Source organism: Homo sapiens, chromosome 9 (assembly GCF_000001405.40).
Source record: "Homo sapiens chromosome 9, GRCh38.p14 Primary Assembly".
Lineage (NCBI taxonomy): Eukaryota > Metazoa > Chordata > Mammalia > Primates > Hominidae > Homo > Homo sapiens.
Window position 1 is genome coordinate 132,380,605 of NC_000009.12, and position 20,011 is coordinate 132,400,615.

General features: G+C 44.3%; 1 protein-coding gene across 8 annotated transcripts in view, besides 2 other annotated features; it reads right to left on the bottom strand.

The window, feature by feature from the left end:
- TTF1 (transcription termination factor 1) overlaps positions 1 to 20,011 on the bottom strand; it is a 31,293-nt gene that overhangs the window by 5,057 nt on the left and 6,225 nt on the right. For 4 of the 8 annotated variants that reach the window (NM_001205296.2, NM_007344.4, XM_006717273.5 and 1 more), the window contains 7 exons: positions 19,431 to 19,654; positions 17,537 to 17,722; positions 15,829 to 15,907; positions 11,472 to 11,602; positions 9,993 to 10,227; positions 7,535 to 7,624; positions 5,952 to 6,017 (listed from right to left, as the gene is read on the bottom strand). In NM_001205296.2, the coding sequence (NP_001192225.1) occupies positions 5,952 to 6,017; positions 7,535 to 7,624; positions 9,993 to 10,227; positions 11,472 to 11,602; positions 15,829 to 15,907; positions 17,537 to 17,722; positions 19,431 to 19,476 (833 nt within the window). In that variant the 5' untranslated portion in view covers positions 19,477 to 19,654. Of the gene's footprint in view, positions 1 to 5,881; positions 6,018 to 7,534; positions 7,625 to 9,992; positions 10,228 to 11,471; positions 11,603 to 15,828; positions 15,908 to 17,536; positions 17,723 to 19,430; positions 19,655 to 20,011 lie in introns of those variants that run through there. The other 4 variants (XR_007061344.1, XR_007061343.1, XR_007061342.1 and 1 more) reach the window with 2 other exon arrangements.
- Positions 1,657 to 1,816: an enhancer, noted in NCBI's record as "active region_29218". NCBI's record gives its function as "activates an Ori minimal core promoter by ATAC-STARR-seq in GM12878 lymphoblastoid cells {active_cell/tissue: GM12878}" and the evidence as "EXISTENCE:reporter gene assay evidence [ECO:0000049][PMID:35858748]".
- Positions 3,234 to 3,283: an enhancer, noted in NCBI's record as "active region_29219". NCBI's record gives its function as "activates an Ori minimal core promoter by ATAC-STARR-seq in GM12878 lymphoblastoid cells {active_cell/tissue: GM12878}" and the evidence as "EXISTENCE:reporter gene assay evidence [ECO:0000049][PMID:35858748]".

The following is a 20,011-nucleotide window of genomic DNA, read 5'->3' on the forward strand; positions in this document are numbered from 1 at the left end:
GAAGCAACAAGAACTGATCTGGACGTTTTAAAACCAAGCAAGTGTTACACCTCATTAGGTGGAGATGCTATCCTTAAATCCTGCCTATATAATTCACAAAGTCTTTAAGAATCTGAGGAGACTGAACCTTCAATATAATTTTTACCATTTTGTTATTAAAACTTTGAGAGTACGTAGTATTTCAAATAGTATTTGACTAGATGCCATAATCTCTATCTTAGAGTTTTGAGATTCGTAAATCTGAAATAGGTAATCAGTTCATCAGTTACCCCCTACCTGGATTTTGTGGGGCCCTTTTATTTATTTTTATTTAATTTATTTTCTTGAGACAGGGTCTCACTCTGTCACCCAGGCTGGAATGCAGTGGCGTGATCTCGGGTCACTGCAACTTCTGGCTCCCAGGCTCAAGCGATCCTCCCACTTCAGCCTCCAGAGTAGCTGGGACAACAGGCATGTGTCACCACGTGCAGCTTAATAATCAGTTTTTAAACATGTAATTTTATTTAAAACCATAAAAACCCATTTTAGTTTTAAAAATCATGTGATCTGAAGAAATGTCACAAAGCATACACAAATTTAATGGAAAAGCTGAATTTTTTTTTTTTTTGAGATGGAGTCTGGCTCTGTGGCCCAGGCTGGAGTGCAGTGACGCAATCTCGGCTCACTGCAACCTCCTCCTCCTGGGTTCAAGCAATTCTGCCTCAGCCTCCCCAGTAGCTGGGATTACAGGTACCTGCTACCACGCCCAGCTAATTTTTGTATTTTAGTAGAGATGGGGTTTCACCATGTTGGGCAGGTTGGTCTCAAACTCCTGACCTCAAGCAATCCACCCGCCTTGGCCTCCCAAAGTGCTGGGATTACAGGCGTGAATCACCACGCCCGGCCGAAAAGTTGAATTTTTAAAAAGTGGTTTGACATTATAAAGGGCTTTGTCAATGTAAGTCGTTCTCAAGATGGGAGCTGGTGGGGTGCACATCAGCGTCACCTCCTTCAAAGCACCTGGCACCCTCCCTGCTTGGGGCCTATGATGCTGAAGAGTGGGCACCCTGCCCCTCAGATGAGCTAGAAAAGAAAAGACTTTGGGACCACGGCATGTATCTGTGAGTCCTGGCAGGGCCTGGACTAAGAATTTCCAATTCTCCACATTCAAGAAGGAAGAGACGGATTGTCCTTTCTTGTTTGGTTATAATCCCAAACCATAAATAACTAACCACCAGAACCAGTTTAAACCCTCCCTAATGGTTCCGCAGAATATTGACTAGAAACAAAACAAAATCTTTCCTAATGGACCAATGGCGACCTCACACCAGTAGCCACACTTCTGGAAGTCAGCCAGGCTGCAGCAGCCTCACCCCACTGTCTACCTTCCAAAACCAAAGGCCAAACAATCCCTCAACATCCCTGCATCTGAAAGTCACTGATCCCCGAGCCCCATGATGCTCGGCAACACGTAGAGGGCCTGTGCTCTGCAGCCCAGCTCTCCCTTGCGTAGCAAGCAGTAAGTTGAGATATCGAGAGTGGTGGGCCCTCCAATCGCAGGAACTGATTAAAATGCAAGAGCTATGTGCAGTGAAGGCTCACAGTGAAGGGAAAGAGAGACAGCTTATAAACACAAGAGCCATGTTCAATCTCACTTCTCACATGAGAAATGCAAATGAAAACCACAAGGAAACTGACAGAAGCTTAAAGAGGAACAGGATCTTTATATAGTCTTAAAATGTCTTCCCACAGCCATTTCTTACCACCAAAGGAAGAACCAGTATTTTTATACAGTGGGGAAAAGAGGCAGATGCTGCCTTAGCTAAATAATAAAAAAAAGTCAAAACGAGAATTATGTACCTTGTGACGTAATGCAGTGATAGCAAACATCAGGAATATGCTGTACTCCTGCCCGAAGGACACAGCCTGAATCTCCTCAAGAGGAAATACCAGACAAGTGCCAACTGCGGACATTCTACAAAACACCTAGCCTGTATTCCTCCAAAATTTCACTACCATCAACAGCAAAGATGGACGATCTTCATAGATTAAAAGACAGTAAGGAAGGCCGGGCATGGTGGCTCACGTCTGTAATCCCAGCACTTTGAGAGGGATTAAGGCCAGGAGTTCAAGCATAGCCTGGGCAACATGGCAAAACCCCATCTCTACTAAAAATACAAAAAAAAAAAAAAAAAAAAAAAGTCAGGTGTGGTGGCTCACGCCTGTAATCTCAGCAATTTGGGAGGCTGAGGTGGGTGGATCACTTGAGGTAAGGAGTTTGAGACCAGCCTGGCCAACATGGTGAAACCTTGTCTCTATTAAAAATACAAAAATTAGCCAGGTATGGTGGCAGGTACCTGTAATCCCAGCTATTCAGAGGCTGAGACAGGAGAACTGCTTGAACCCGGAAGGTGGAGGTTGCAGGGAACCGAGATCACGCTGTTGCACTCCAGCCTGGGCAACAAGAGTGAAAATCCGTCTCAAAAAAAAAAAAATTAACTAATTAAAAAAAAAACTAGCCAGGCAGGGTGGTGCATGCCTCTAATTCCAGCTATTTAGGTGGCTGAGGCACAAGAATTGCTTGAACCTGGGAGGCAGAGGGTGCAGTGAGCTGAGATCACACCATTGTAACTCCAGCCTGGGCAACAGAGTAAGACTCTTGTCTTCAAAAAAAAAAAAAAAAAGGACACTAAGGAAATGGAACAATTATTAAAGGGGGAAAATGCTATCAAGGACATTACTGGGACAACTGGTGAAATCTGAATGTGGACTATGTTTTAGAGGGTGTACTATATCAATGTGAAACTTCCTGATTCTCGATTGTACTATGGTTATGTAAAATAACATCCTTGCTTGGGAAGTGGTATCTGCCACTAACTCTTGAATGGTTATGGGAAAAACCGTATTCCCTTGGAGGAGGGAGAGAGGGATGATAAAGTGAACGTAGCAGAATGTTCAGAAGAGGCGACTATGGGTAAAGGGGATGCGGGGTTCTTTCTGTTACTCTTGCAACTTGTTTAGCTTTTTGAAGCCTTTAAGAGACTTTGCATACATTTCATTTGCCTTTCTTGGGTGTCTTCGGTGGCAGGTGGGCTGGAGGGAGGGCTGGTCTGATTTATTTGGTCCAGAGCACAGAGACTGGAAGTCTCGAATAAACACACACATTGCAGCTTTCCTGTTCTGTGGCGCTGGCACACCACCCTGCAACCACGCAGTGTTTCCTCACCCAAGACTGTATCTTGGCGCTTTCTTTGCCCCACCACCGAGGGGCTTTCTCATGATTTTTTGTAGCTATAAAGAATGTCACTATATGGGTAAAATACATATATAGCCAGTCCCCTATTAACAGGCCTTTTGCAGTCAGTTACTCTGTATACAAGTCATTTCATGTATGTGTGAAGTTGTTTTGTAGAATGTATTTCTAGAAATGGAATTACTAGAATTATTTGAATTTTGAATGGTACTAAGGCTGCAAAGTATGTAAAATTTACCAAAACAGATAACAGTAATTGGAGGGAGTGAATGTAGATGTTTAATAAGGACGGCTGGATTTTGACAGTTGCTGAACTGGGGTGATGGGTACATGAAGCTTCATTTATTTTGTATCTGTCTAAAATTTTCCTAATAAAGTTTCTGAAAAAAATAATTGGGCATTGCTAATAAAGCAGTACTTAGAAGAAAACATATGGCCTTAAATGTATATTACAAAGAAAGAAAAATGGAAAATGAGCTAAGAACCCATCTCAAGAAGTTGAAGAACAGCAGCAAAATAAACTCAAAGAGAGCTGAAGGGAGGGCGTGATAAAGAGCTGACATTAGAATAATCACAAGATAGGGTCAACGCAATCAAAGCTGGTGCTTTGAAAAGACAATCTCTGGTAACTCCTATTCAAGCAGTAACAAAAGAGAGTAGGTATAAATAGCCAACATTAGCCATCAGAACATCACTCAGATCCTGCAGACATTTTGCATAAACCATCTACGGAAAATAGATACTGGTTTCCTGTAGGGCTACGCGTGGCTGGTGAGTGGTAAGGGGACACTTTTCACTGTGTTTCCTTTCAGGTTTCTTTCTTTCTTTCTTTTCTTTTGAGATGGAGTCTTGCTCTGTTGCCCAGGCTGGAGTGCAATGGCATGATCTCGGCTTACTGCAACCTCCGCCTCCTGGGTTCAAGCGATTCTCCTGCCTCAGCCTCCTGAGTAGCTGGGACTACAGGCACCTGCCATCATGCCTGGCTAATTTTTGTATTTTTGTAGAGACGGAGTTGAACCATGTTGGCCAGGCTGGTCTTGAACTCCTGACCTCAGGTGATCTGCCCACCTTGGCCTCCCAAAGTGCTGGGATTACAGGCAAGAGCCACCGTGCCCAGCCTACGTTTCTTTAATTCTGGACTACGTAATCTATTACCTATTCCAGAAAAACAGCAAAATCAAACTGAACAGTCAAGTCCTTTTTCCTTATGGGTGGGGCATGATATTCAGTTCTGTATTTGAATTGTTACACACAACTAAAACGTTCTAACTGGGAACCGACCAAGTCATTTAACCAGCGCTAAAGCACGGGGTCTCGGCAGGGTAACACATCTGAGTCACCTGGAGCTCTGAACAATCCTGACAGCCAGACCCCACACCAGACCAATCCCATTCATGCGAAGCCAGACCCCACACCAGACCAATCCCATTCACGTGGCACTGGTATTTTTTAAAAGTTCCCCAGATGATTTTGAAGTGAGAGCTGGGCTGAAAACCAGAGAATTGCTAGTGTTTACAAAGTTCCAAATTGGGTACACAAAGGTAACTGGAACTCCTGGATGTCTGGAGCGTGTGCTGAGTTGTCAACTGTCTGAAGTCCCCTGAGGCGTGGGAGTCTGGCCTGCACACGCACCCAGCCCATCGCTGCCGTCATTTTACTCACTGTTCTGGGCCACCTGGTCCCTTTCCAGTCCCTTGAATGTGCCCAGCCAGTGCTGGCTCAAGGTGTCCGCATTCACTACTCTCTGTCCGAACATCTTCAGTCTCATCCCCGCATGGCTACCCTGCCACCGCTTCTGCTTCCATAGTCTTCCCTAACCACTCTATCTGATTGCCCCCGACGTCCCTTCTACTCTATTTTTGTTTTCTTTTTGGTACCATGCTATCTGAAATGAGCTTATTTGTTTACAGTCTCTTCCCAGAACTAAATGTGAGTTCCTACTCTGTGCCTGGTATACAGAAGGTAGTCAATAATTATTATTAGTTTGATATCGTTATCATCAATGTAGTTTTTAGGTTAATTCTATACTATACAAAACTTGGCATTTGTGTCAGCAGAATGGATGCTCTACCAGGCAAGGAACTTGTCTTTTGTTCAATGCTGTATCCCCAGAGCCTAGAAAAATGCCTGGCATATAGGCACCTCGTATTTGGTGGGTGAAGAGTAATTCTGAGCCTTTGATTTTTCAATAATTGGAATTGATAAAAGGTATGTACTGGGAAAATTCACTTCATTGTTACTAAAGTACCTATAATATCACCTCCAATGCCTGCCAAGGTCAACTCGACTGTATGGTAATACTTCCTTACACGATTATTTTTCCACTGGAAAACTGAAATAGGAGGGAGGTGGGTGGGCCATAGGTATTATGCTCTAGCTAAAATCTGTAATCACAAAACACCTGAGGCGTGATGATCTATGTGACACTAAAAAAAGGGAAGAAAAATGAAAAACATATCCAACTAGTGATGTATTTAGTGTCATGAAAACCTGATCTACCTAGCAGCTCAGAGCCTTTACGTATACACTGCTCCTAAAATTACAGTTTCCTCTGCACTAACAAATTGGTTTCCTAGCAAATACACTGAATTTTAACCACCACTTATACAAAATTCCAAATGCAGCATCATTATCAGCCCTGTAAGATGATAGGGAGTTATTGTATTTATTAAGTCATCTCTATATTTTAATTAGTTTAATATTAAACAAATGGTCTTACCCTATGGCACTAGCAAGATCTTCCCAGTCTATTTCATTAGTATCTTCCACATTTATTTCATACAACCTGTGAGAAAAAATAAAAATTAAATTTTCAAGCAAAAATAATCATGATAGCCATCTTCATGGACGCGTGGAGTGCTGAGAGCTGGAAGGTATGTGCGCTTTCGCCGCATTCCAGCTCCCTCGTTACACATGCACAGTGAGCTCAGCATCCCAGCCCAAGGTTAATCCAGGTCAGTCAGTTGGTGGGCTACAGAGATGGGCTGAAAAGACCTCTTTCCTCTTTCTGAGCCCTTTGTTTCTCTCAACAAACCATGTTGCTTTCTCACAGTAAAAAACACCACCTCATCATTCAACATAGACACACAGTAAGAGGACATCTGTACTATGTGACAGACACTGTGAAGGTCTTTTTTTTGATACAGGGTCTCGCTCTGTCACCCTGGCTGGACTGCAGTGGCGTGATCGTGGCTCACTGCAGCCTCGACCACCTGGACTCAGGCAACTCTCCCACCTCAGCCTCTCAAGAAGCTGGAACCATAAGCACGTGGCACCATGCCCGGCTAATTTTTTAGATTTTTTGTAGGGATGGAGTCTTGACATGTTGCTCAGGCTGGTCTCAAACTCCTGGGCTCCTCCTGCCTTGGCCTCCCAGTGTTGGGATTATGGGCGTCAGGCACCACGCCGAGCCAAGTTAAGACCTTAAAGTGCGCAAATTCATTTACAGTAACCCTCCCCCCCCAATCTACAGACAGGGAAATGGTGCCAAGAGACACAGTCATGGGCTCCAGATTGCATGACTAATAGGTGGGGCCGACACTGGAACCCAGGCCTGCTTGACTTGAGATGCCCTTCTTGGATCTGGTAATCTATGCTGCCTCTCTAGCAGGGAAGACTGGGCGGGGGCATAACCACCCCCCGATCCACCCCTAGGAAAGAGGATCAGGAAACCCACAGTGAGCCTTAGGCAGGGCTCACGTGTGAGGCAGAGGGAATGAAGGCGGACAGCAAGGCCAGAACCCACAGGCTTCTGCTGCTCTTTCCTGTTCCTCAGTCGACATGGGCCAGGTCCACTAGTCTCACACGCATCACGAAACGGGCCCATGTCTCCCTTTTCCTCGTCACCCTTCAACACTTTAGGGGGGACCCTGCATGGACAAGGAACTCAAAGACAAAACCAAAGACAAGCAAGGGTGACACCAACAAGCTCATGCTGGAGCACAGGAGGGCTCTGCCTGAGTCATTTACCCCCATTTTCCAACGGGCGTAAATAATTTATATCCATATGAAATGCTTCAAAGACTAAAATACACGGAGTATACAGTATGTTTCACACGTTATTTTCTTTTATCCTCCTGAAAGCACTAAGAGCTAGGTACGATTATCGTCATCCTCAGTAGATGAGTTAAGATGAGTAAACTGAGACTTAGAAGGGTAGGTCATATGCCCACAATACATGCGGAAAGTGCTGGAACAGGGATTTGGACCTTGGCAATCTCACTGCAGACTCTGCTGGGTTAACAACTTCTCTTTGGCTAGAGACAGAAACAGTTAAGAGGCATCCGTTTCTATTTTTCATACCTTTCAATAAGGCTGACCTTGGCCCGCAGGGCATTCATGCCATAGTAGATACGCCGACCATTAGTCATCCTCTTGGTTAGAATTTCTGTCCTACATTAAAAGGAAGAAAAACATAGTTTACTTTCAAGGGTAGAGTTTTCATTAAAATATCCTATATTTTTCTTATCTAAATTGCTCTCATTCAGAACCAACTTCTAACTTTTCTTTTTTTTTTTTGAGACGGGGTCTCACTTTGTCACCCAGGCTGGAGTGCAGTGTCACGGTCTCAGCTCACTGCAACCTCCACCTTCCGGGTTCAAGCGATTCTCCTGCCTCAGCCTCCCGAGTAGCTGGGATTCCTTACAGGTGCGCACCACCACGCCCGGCTAATTTTTGTATTTTCAGTAGAGACAGGGTTTCACCATGTTGGCCAGGCTGGTCTCAAACTCCTGGCCTCAAGTGATCCACCTGCCTAGGCCTCCCAAAGTGCTGGGATTACAGACATGAGCCACAGTACCTGGACCTCAATGTATTTTGACTATCTATGCACAGACAGGCATTGCTCTTATTACCATTACCAGCCTTGGAACATCAAATAAGACAAATTTAGTAAAGTGAGAAATGATTTGATGATTCCTCTAATGCCGAAGCTAGTGGCTGCAGGCTGACTGAAGGTTCTAGTAAAGGCAGTGACCCAATTAAAAAGATTTTAAAAGTACTTATCTTGAATAGCAAAATTTGTCACAATCTGATAGATCATTAGCTGTTATATTTACATTCTTGGTAACGGAGATACACACGCTGATCAACAACATTGTTGCTCTTAATGAGAGCCATCCACGTTTACAGGGTTGAAATGTACCAGTGGAGGTCACTTCAATGTTACACAAGGTAAATAAACGTTCAGAGTTTAAGTTTCCTATTTTTATCTCAAATTAATAGCTAAATCTTGCACGTTATCTTAATTATGTTGATCTTGAACCAGTACTACCCTTAATGATTACCATGTCCTCCTTTTAACATTGGTATGTCATCCTCCACTTGAGGCTTATAACTCACTCTTCCTTTTTTTTTTTTTTTTTTGAGACGGAGTCTGGCACTGTCGCTGGGGCTGGAGTGCAATGGCGTGATCTCGGCTCACTGTAACCTCCGCCTCTTGGGTTCAAGCAATTCTCCTGCCTCAGCCTCCCGAGTAGCTGGGATTACAGATGCCCGCCATCCCGCCGGCTAATTTTTTGTATTTTTAGTAGAGGTGGGGTTTCACTATGTTGGCCAGTCTGGTCTTGAACTCCTGACCTTGTAATCCACCTGCCTCAGCCTCCCAAAGTGCTGGGATTACAGGTATGAGCCACCGTGCCCGGCCCTCACTCTTCCTTCTTTTAGCTAAAAATAGAGGTAAAAAGAGCTCTGGTTCCTCCAACATTCCCTGTTCTTTGGAGTTTATTCCCCTGGAGTTGTAAGGTATATAAACAGTATGATCTAGGAGTTTGCTTTTAACACAAAATATGTCTACTCTGGATTTTACTCCTATTTATTATTCAAGAGCCACTGAGTGCCCTTCATGTGCAAGGTAGGGGGGTCATGAGCATGCAGAACCACTGGTTTGAGGAGTTCGCTGCAGCTGGACATCCAGCTCCGCGACTCTCCAGGTCTTGGAAAAGCTATATCCAGCAAAGAATGTGTGGCAGAAGCAGGACTGAAACTGTCTCTATGTGACTGACGCAGCCAGGAGCATGCCTACCTCGCTTCATCTGAGGAACCGCAGAAGCAGAAAGCACATTAGAAGGGTGGAGCTGCTACTGATCACTACACTTGTGATTTCTCTCTGTATGTTAGTTTTCTATCTTTTTTCTCTCTATATATTTTTTATTTTTTTGAGACAGAGCCTCGCTCTGTTGCCCAGGCTGGAGTGCAATGGGGCGATCTCAGCTCACTGCAACCTCCACTTCCTGGGTTCAAGCGATTCTCCTGCCTCAGCCTCCTGAGTAGCTGGGACTACTGGTGGCTGTGAGCCACCACACTTGGCTAATTTTTGTATTTTTGGTAGAGACAGGGTTTTGCCACATTGGCCAGGCTGGTCTTGAACTCCTGCCCTCAAGTGATCTGCCTGCCTCAGCCTCCCAAAGTGTTGGGATTACACGCATGAGCCACTGCGCGTGGCCCCTTTTTTTCTAATGCTGCCAACAGATTGCTACCTTGTTTTATTAAAGACTTAGAAAGAGTGAAGAAATCAGAAGTCAATATTCAGTTTTAAAAAGGTTCAAGTTCTTTAGGAGAAAAGCATACACTCTTCAATGCATCAGGGCTAGTTACGTGCTCATTTAAATCAGAGAGTGATATGGAAGCAGCTGGGGCAGCAGACTAGACACGATTGTTCTTGACACGTCAGCTTCCCCACGGCAGTTACACAGATATTCTTGGTAACCTCACCTCTCCACAGAAGCTGGAGAGACAGAGAAAGAGAGAGGGAAGAACTTACCACTTACTTTTACACTGCATCCAATTTCTGGTTTGCACTTTAGCTTCTACTTCTACCCAAGATATGCCCTTGTAGAGTTTTTCCCGAACAATTGATAGGCAACTTTCAGGATTTTCTTGGAGTTTGGAATCCACCTCTTTTAACTCCTGGGGAGACATCTTCTTCAGAATCACTTCTTCGACAGCCTTGATTAGTTTCCGGGTTTCAGACTTACTCCAAGCACCACGATTTCTTTCTGTAGATATAAAAAGATGGTCTTATAGTAGCTAGTCTATTTGCTTTCAAACACAATATTAAAAATGAAATGATAAATCGGGTACTTTTCAGAAAATAATGTGCATCTCAATTATATAGACATAAAACAAACACAATTATGTGCATATTAAAATGAAATTACTAACACGGTCATGGATTCTTTTTAAGAACTAAAGCCTGAAATTATTCAATAAGTCCTTTCTTAAAGCAATGTTTTATTTATTTATTTCAAAACAGTTGTTCATCCTGTTTCTGAGAACGTCTCCCGCATCAAACTGTGAGGTTCCCAAACATTTAATGGGGGAAGAAAAGCCAGCCAAATGGCTTTTATGTTATGTACATGTCTCTTGGCCAAGAGTTCATAGTGTAACAATATAAATAGCTACACTGATACCAACACAGTACTTGATGAAGGCACCTGAGAATTTCTGAAGCCAGTTATCTGTGGCGGATGCCCCAAAGTATCAACGGTTCACCCTTCTTCACTAGAGACATTCACGGTCACGCTAAGTAAGGAGCGTCACACTGGCAGCTGTTTGGCTGTGCTTTTGGTCTGGCCACAGAATGTTACATTTTCCCCTCAATAACAATTTGGATGAATATTTAAAAATCAAGAGATTTCCAAAAAAGAAAAAAAGATAGCTAGAGTTCACAAAATTAAAAAAAAAAACAATTTAAGATTTTCCTCTAGTTCTTGGAAACTTGAAGAACTGGCTGCAAGGCACTAGCTGTGTGGCCGGAGTGTGTGAGCCCCTGTGCTAAACAGAAAACCCGGTCAGGACTGTCTTCTGAAAGGAAACCTTTTAGGAAAGAGGAGACACAGACAGGAGGTCACCAACACTGGTTCTGAGAAAAGTCCCCGCCTGACGGGCACGAACTGCGTGCCTGCCTCCCTCCCAACGTGTCCCGTGCCACTGCGGGGAAGTGACCCTCCGCCCAGGCTCTCCCACCACCAGTTTATTGGGGTCCTGGTCCACTTGGCAGTTATATTTGCACGGACAGTTACTGAAGTGTGGTAAAAACCAGCCTAGTGGGTAAAGGTCACATGGCTTCACTAAACACACGAGGAAACCAAACAAATTAGTATAGAGAACAGCTTAAGAAACAAAGCTCTTGCGGAAGACAGGTCTACGGTGATTTCCGGGCATTGGATCGGTTATGGCTGAACCAGGCCTGTCAGGGCTTATTTCTTCAGCGAGGTGGGCACTGGGGGCTGCCACTTACGACTGCTGATCTGTGAGAACTTGAGGGCCACGGAGAGGCTACTTCGGGCCACCATCTCACCAATCGTCTTCCAGTCATTCCCAAGGAGAGAATGGTACATCTTTAACTTCTCAGTATCTCCTTCGCTATACCTAGGAGAAAGGGAAAATGTTTTACAAGTTTAAACGAACTATCAGATTAAAAATGGTATTCTCATCCCAGTACGCAGCAATCGTGGGGAAAGCTGAATGGGGCAGGCTGTCAGGGAACCCGGTCACAGCCCTCTTCACTTCCTGTTGGCGTCTCACTGGTGGTCATCCTATCAATCAATCACTGAAGTGGAGACCAGAGGCCTGGCTCAACTGAACAGCAGCCGGAGCAATCACTTAGCCCTTCTTCAGCTCAGAGCCTCTGTCCCTGTGGTGGAAACGGCCTTCCTCCACCCGACCTGGACAGTGCCTGCATGCTCGCCAGTGCCGTTTAAAGGGTGCGTTTTCGGGGAGCGCCTCCCTGACCCCCTTAGCCTGAAGTCCCCGTTGATTGCTCCTGGAGAACACCGTGCTTCTCTTCCATAGCACTGGTCACAACCTGCACTCACACGTGCACTGGCTCCCTTGTTCATGCCTCTTCCTCCAGACCAGCACTGCCCAACAGAAACATAATACGAGCCTCTTACGGAGTTTAAGTTTCCTAGTAGTCATAGGAAAACTCACTTTACCTAGTTTTAATCAAAGGAACTTTAAGAATATATTTCTTACATGGACATGTTGCGTGATGAAAAACAAAAACAAAAAATAATATATTTCATTGAACTCAATACATTAAAAATGCCTATCATTTCAACACGTCATCAGTATCAAAAAATATCAACGATGTATTTTACATTCGGTTCTTCATCTTGAGCCTTCAAAACCCAGCATGTGTTTTACTCTGACAGCACATCTCAATGTGGACTAACTACATTTCAAATGTTCCACAGGCCCAGGAGGCTGCTGGTCACCATACTGGAAGACACAGCTCTAGAAGGGAAGTTCCATGAGGGCAGAGATCTTGTCGGTTTCGTATACTATGTTATCCATAATGCTTGACAGACAAAAGATGGCTTTACTGTATAAACTGCATAAACATGCAACAAATGGCTTTACTGTAAATATGTAACTACTTGAGAAATGTAAAGTGCATTCATCCTACATAAAAATACATGTTGGGAGCAAGCCCCCCCCGCAAACTGGCCATAAACAGAATCTCTGCAGCACTGTAACATGTTCATGATGGCCCTAATGCTCACGCTGGAAGGTTGTGGGTTCACGGGAATGAGGGCAAGGAACACCGGGCCCACCCAGGGCGGAAAACCGCTTAAAGGCATTCTTAAGCCACAAACAATAACATGAGCGATCTGTGCCATAAGGACATGCTCCTGCTGCAGTTAACTAGCCCAACCTATTCCTTTAATTCGGCCCATCCCTTCGTTTCCCATAAGGGATACTTTTAGTTAATTTAATATCTATAGAAACAATGCTAATGACTGGCTTGCTGTTAATAAATACGTGGGTAAATCTCTGTTCGGGGCTCTTAGCTCTGAAGGCTGTGAGACCCCTGACTTCCCACTTCACACCTCTATATTTCTGTGTGTGTGTCTTTAATTCCTCTAGCACCGCTGGGTTAGGGTCTCCCGGACCGAGCTGGTCTCAGCAAACACATATATTAAAGTACTAAGAAAAGCACTATAATATTATAAATGGATTTTAAGATTAAACACCTAAATATTTAAATAAATAAAAAGCAATCTTTATAACATCTTCAGATTCCTATCTGAGTAGGAATGGTGGTTTATGTCATCACTAAGAAGTCCTAAAAAATACAATTTCTTTTTTTTTTTTTCTTTGAGACAGGGTCTGGCTCTGTCACCCAGGCTGGAGCACAGTGGCATGATCATGGCTCACTGCAACCTCCACCTCCTGGGATCAAGCGATCCTCCCACCTCAGCCTCCCAAGTAGCTGGGACTACAGGTGCATACCAGGCTAATTTTTGTATTTTTTGTAGAGCCACGTTGCCCAGGCTGGTCTCAAACTCCTAATCCAGTGATCCGCCTGCCTCAGCCTCCCAAAGTGCTGGGATTACAGGCATGAGCCACCGCACCCAGCCAAAAACAAACAATAACATCGGAGCATTTTCAGACATTTGTCTGTAAATGCAGCGTATGGTGAATAGAAACTGGTTATTCTTCACTATTTTTTTTTTTGAGGCGGAGTCTTGCTGTGTTTCCCAGGCTGGAGTGCAGTGGCGCAATCTCGGTTCACAGCAACCTCTGCCTCACAGGTTCAAGCAATCTTCCTGCCTCAGCCTCCCAAGTAGCTGGGATTATAAGCGTTTGCCACCACGCCAGGCTAATTTTTGTATTTTTAGTAGAGATAAGGTTTCACCATGTTGGCCAGTCTGGTCTCGAACTCCTGACCTCAAGTGATCCGCCCACCTCAGCCTCTCAAAGTGCTGGGAATTATAGGTGTGAGCCACTGTGCCTGGCCTACTTTTCACTATTAAGAATCATGGCTGTAAGCCAGGTGTGGTGGCTCAAGCCTGCAATCCCAGCACTTTGGGAGGCTGAGGCAGGAGGATCACTTGAGGTCAGGAATTTGAGACCAGCCTGGTCAACATGGTGAAAGCTCATCTCCACTAAAAATATAAAAATTAGCTGGGTGTGGTGGCACACGCCTGCAGTCCCAGCCTCTTGGGAGGCTGAGGCAGGAGAATCGCTTGAACCCAGGAGGTGGAGGTTCCAATGAGCCGAGTTCGCACCACTGCACTCCAGTCTGGGTGACAGAGGGAGACCCTGTTCCAAAAAAAAAAAAAAAATTGCCAGGCACGGTGTCTCACCCCTGTAATCCCAGCACCGTGGGAGGCTGAGGCAGGTGGATCGCCTGAGGTCAGGAGTTCCAGACCAGTCTGACCAATATGGTGAAACCCCGTCTCTACGAAAAATACAAAAATTAGCCGGGCGTGGTGGTGGGTGCCTGTAGTCCCAGCTACCCGGGAGGCTGAGACAGGAGAATTGCTTGAACCTGGGAGGCGGAGGTTGCAGTGAGCCAAGATTGCGCCATTGCACTCCAGCCTGGGCGACAGACTGAGACTCCATTTCAAAAAAAGAAAAAAACAACAAAAAATCAACAACAAAAATTAAAAATTAAAATAATAATAATTCTTTGATTTTTTACTTTCTATTTTTTTGAAGTCAGGAATTGCTTGCTATAAAAATATTCTAAGGGTAAATGATCACCACAACACAAATAATACAGCACAAAGAGATGAACTGTTAGATTTTTAGAATGACTCTAAAAATTACTCTAAAAATTTCATTCCTGTGTGTGTGTCACAGGTGGAAATATATTACCTCAGCTGCCACCATTAACCTGCCAAAAGCATTCTTGTAAGTCCCATTTAAAATGTTACCTTTAGTGGATTTTCTTAAAAGTTCTGTTCACAATTGTCTAACCTCAGGATTGGGGAAAAACAGGCAGGGCAGGTCTCAGTCTGTGTGTGAACTTTCCTCACCTAAGGCTGATTTATTTCTGTAAAAATTTTAAAAAGGAAACCGAGGTCATATCAACGTTGGAAGTTTAAGTAATGACCTATGTCTCAGTTTACAATCACAGAGCTAAGCAGAACTCAACTGCCGCTGCCAGAAGATTTATGAAAGCTGCCTCTCAGAGAGAGGTCAAGCAGCTGAGTAGAAGGTAGTTTTCGGGGGCCGTGGAATCCGAGCTAACACCTTCCTGCTTCTCCTTCTGTCCCTGAGCAGAGTGCTAACGTGCTAACCCAAACGCTCGGTCTACGTTTGGTTTGTTTTTAAATGTGTTGGAAACAAATTATAATCCGATATTGTATTTGGGGAAAAGGAAGGAGAGAATGACAACCGGGTTAAGCACCCCAGGTTGATACCACTGAACTGCATTTAAGGGACCTAATCCCAGCACTTACCTCCACCTTCAAATAGTTACTAAAAACCCACAGCACTCTGCTAAGTGCTGAATGGAACATGTGTCGAGATGGGATGTTTGGGTTCACAAGGAGCTTATGACGTAAGCAGAGAGCAGAGTAAACAGGAGTCACAGCACATGAAGCAGCATATGGGGAGTGCTAAAGAAAAAGTGTAGAGAAAGCTGCAGATGCAGGAAACAGAAGGTCACCACAGCTTCACTAAAGAGGTGGGGATGGAAAAGGCCATGAAGACACACATTTGACAACAAATACACCACCTGGTTTCACACACACAAATCTGCGTTATCTTTACTGCTAATCCACTGCTGTGAATATTTTGATTTATGGTATCAGCAAAGACTAGAGAAATGTTGTCTCAAGCTGCTAAGACTTTTTTCTTACCTGCCTTTGTAATTGTTGACATCGAACATCTTCTTTGCTCGATAGTATATAAGTTTCCAGGGCCGGGCAATGTTCCTACCTAAAGTCAGAAGAAAGGTGATCAGAGGGACTCACATGAAATGAAGTCGCAATTGTAAAAGGAACCCAGAACAGCCCTTATAACAACATGAACTATCCTAAGCCCCGTGTTAAGGCTGGGATTTCCTACGTCCTGAAGAAAGCTGTCTTGTTTTTTTTGTTTGTTTTTTTTTTTTTGAGAGAGTCTCACTCTGTCACTGAGGCTGGAGTGCAGTGGCACTGTGTCGGCTCACTGCAACCTCCATCTCTTGGGTTCAAGCAATTCTCCTGCCTCAGCCTCCCGAGTAGCTGGGATTACAGGTGTCCACCGCCACGCCCAGCTGGTTTTTATATTTTTAGTAGGGACGGGGTTTCACTAAATGAAACCAGGCTGTTTCATTTGGTGAAGGCTGCTTCACCAAATGAACCAGCTGGCCAGGTTCATTTGGTGGCCAGGCTGGTCTTGAACTCCTGACCTCAGGTGATCCGCCCTCCTCGGCCTCCCAGAGTGCTGGGATTACAGGCATGAGCCACCGCGCCCGGCCTAAGAAAGCTGTCTTGAAGAGCAGATACACACAATCACCAGTTTCCTTGGAGATCTCCGAAAACTAAATGCTTAGTACCCTGAGGCTTCAGCTTCCGGTCTATGCAATTTGTGGAAAGAATCCTTAAGAGGCAAAGTAGTTTTAAGATAATGTGAATTAAGAGGAAGAGAACACTGCGGTGGAGAATACAGGGTAACAGTTTTCCAGAAGATGAACAATAATCTTTCCCAAATCAGCTTTTCTCACTTTCTCACTCTAAGGGGAAATAATCCCTCAACGGGGGCGTACTAGCCTGCTTTTCTTCGTGGATTCCACACAACACCTAAGAAATTATCCTCTTTAAATTCAAGAGAGATTTGCTTTCGCTCTGATCCCATATGACAGCATGACCTTCTAACTTCACAGGCAGCACCTCCAGTCGGAGGGTTCCAGTTACAAAGCACACATATGGCCACACTTAAAAAACACGGGAGACCATGGTGCGTATAAGGATGTGCTTTGTGTAGCGTACACAAAATATAAATAAGGAACAGGAGGAGAAACCAAAACCACAACTATTGCCAAGGAAGAAAGGTAAAAGTTGATCATTTAATTTTTCACCCTAAACTTGGGAGACATGAACACATTCCAAATCCCAGAAAGTACAGACTGGCAATAAGAATACCATCAGGGCTGGGCGCGGTGGCTCACGCCTGTAATCCCAGCACTTTGGGAGGCCGAGGCAGGCGGATCACGAGGTCAGGAGTTCGAGACCATCCTGGCTAACAAGGTGAAACCCCGTCTCTACTAAAAATACAAAAAATTAGCTGGGCGTGGTGGTGGGCACCTGTAGTCCCAGCTACTCAGGAGGCTGAGGCAGGAAAATCACTTGAACCCCAGAGGTGGAGGTTGCAGTGAGCCAAGATTGCACCACTGCACTCCAGCCTGGGCAACAGAACAAGACTCCGTCTCAAAAAAAAAAAAAAGAATATCATCAGCCATCACAGCAGTTAATGTGCGCCGCCTGCAGGCAATGGGCCAGGTACCGTGCTAACACTTACCATGGGTTATCTTGTTTATGGCTGGAAGGCTGTGGATGGTCAAAGGGTGATTGTTTCTAAACTTACCAATGTGTAATCTAAACGAGTATCTCCTTTTTAAGTTGGTGATCACAGATTTTTCCTCAGGATATCTGTCCGTGTACAGCAGCTTGTCTGCACTCTCAATGCCTGTCAGGGCTAGAAAGTCTTCCACATTTTTCTCTAACTGCTTATTTTCCTTTACAGAAAACTTGCCAAATTTAATAGCGACACCTAGAATTGGGAAGGAACAGGGAGAAAGTGTGTATTGTTAATAATGACAAAAGCAAACCTATGACTTGGTTTTTCATCAGCAATGACAGTACCTCGGCCCAACAGTCCCAACACCTGACATTCGCCCTCCTGCCCGCACTTGCAGATTTGGCCTTTCCTTCAGGGTTCAGCCCAAGCCACACCTCTTCTGTCAATGTCTTCCCGGGTCATCCTATTCCAAAGTGACCTTTCCTGTTTAATCTATCTTTTTAAAAAATAGTTTTCAAATTTATTTATGCATTCTTTAGAGATAGGGTCTTGCTTTTTCACCCAGGCTGGAGTGCAGTGGCATGATCAAAGTCCACTGCAACCTTGAACTCCTGGGCTCAAGTGATTCTCCTGCCTCAGCCTCCCGAGTAGCTGGGACTACAGGTGTGTGTGACACCTGGCTAATTTTTTATTTTTTGTAAGACGGGGTCTTGCTGTTTTGCCCAGACTGGTCTTAAACTCCAGGCCTCAAGCAATTCTCTTGCCTTGGCCTCCCAAAGTGCTGGGATTACAGGTGTGAGCCACCTCACTTGGCCTAGGTTTACTTTAAAAATATCTTATGGGCAAGGCACAGTGGCTTATGCATGTTATCCCAGCACTTTGGGAGGCCGAGACAGGCGAATCATGAGGTCAGGAGTTTGAGACCAGCCTGGTCAATAATATGGTGAAACCCCATCTCAACTAAAAATACAAAAATTAGCTGGGCTTGGTGGCAGGCGCCTGTAGTCCCAGCTACTTGGGAGGCTGAGGTGGGAGAACCACTTGAACCCAGGAGGCGTAGGTTGCAGTGAGCCGAGATCATGCCACTGCACTCCAGCCTGGGCTACAGAGCAAGACTCTGTCTCAAAAAAAAAAAAAAAAGAAAAAAAAAAAAGTCTTTTATGAAATACATACTCATAAAAATTTCAACACAATACACCAAAATGGGATTCTATACCACTCTATAATTGTGTGTACGTGGGTAGTGCTGTCTTTTTTGCTTAATTTGTCTTGTCTATTTTTCTGAATCTCTTCAATCCCATTAATTCTGGAAGGTTATGACTCCTCTTTTTACTTTTTTCAATGACCAGTTGTATTGGGTCTCACACAACAGATACTCAGTAAATATTGCTCATTTGTAGTATACAGCCTTAAATTTGCAGTTTATTCTTAAACCCAATAAGCTTTATTATTGGATTTAAGAATAATAAAGGTTATTTATTATTCTTAATAATAATAATTCTTAATAAGAGAGGTTCAGAAACACAGTGAAATCAAGAAGGTGATCAAGTCTACCACAACTGGCTCACCATCAATTTAATATCTTGGAGAAAGAAACGATACCTCATTAAAGTTGATTTTAATTTGACAGCATTTTAATTTTATATAACTGTTGTATCATTTCCAGTGTCTCAACCAATTAACCTCTCGTCCCTTCTCTTCTTAGTGGGAATTAATTATCTGGTCTCTTTAGCCCCATTCTTCCTGGCCACCTTTACCAGAAACTGGGCAAGAAGAGGAAAAGCAAGTGCACTTTATTTTGCTAATTTTACAGCTTGGACAATTCTGGTAGGAGATAGAGGTGAAGGAGGAGAAAGAATGCTTCTTGTCGATCTATAAATCTGAATCATCCATAAAAGAAAGTTAGGTGCTAGCTCTGCATACAGGAAGTTCAACAAACACTAAGGCCCCACAAGCTCACCTTGTGCTTTAAATTCCTTAAACCGTTCCAAGTCGTCCCGGTACATCCGCTTGATTGTGCTGGTGGCCCTGTCCTTGATGTTAGGAATGAACTCCTGAAGCTGTTTCACGGCAGAACCCAAATCCGCATCTGAATCATCGGCATCTCCTGAATCTGCAGATAAGTATCTTATTTCGGAATCTTCAGCTGTTTCCACATTGTGTTCTTCATTTGCAGGTTCTAACCTAAGGGGTTAGAAAATTGGGTTGACTAACATTAACACATCACTTGACCTCATAACTTTAAAATTTTTCCTTCTTTTTTTTCGTGAGACAGAGGCTTGCTCTGTCGCCAGGCTGGAGTGCAATGGTGCGATCTCAGCTCACTGCAACTTCTGCCTCCCGGTTCAAGCGATTCTCCTGCCTCAGCCTCCAGAGTAGCTGGGACTACAGGTACGCGCCACCACGCCCGGCTAACTTTTGTATTTTTAGTAGAGACAGGGTTTCGCCATGTTGGCTAGGCTGGTCTCGAACTCCTGGCCTCAAGTGACTCACCCACCTTGGCCTCCCAAAGTGCTGGGATTACAGGCATGAGCCACCACG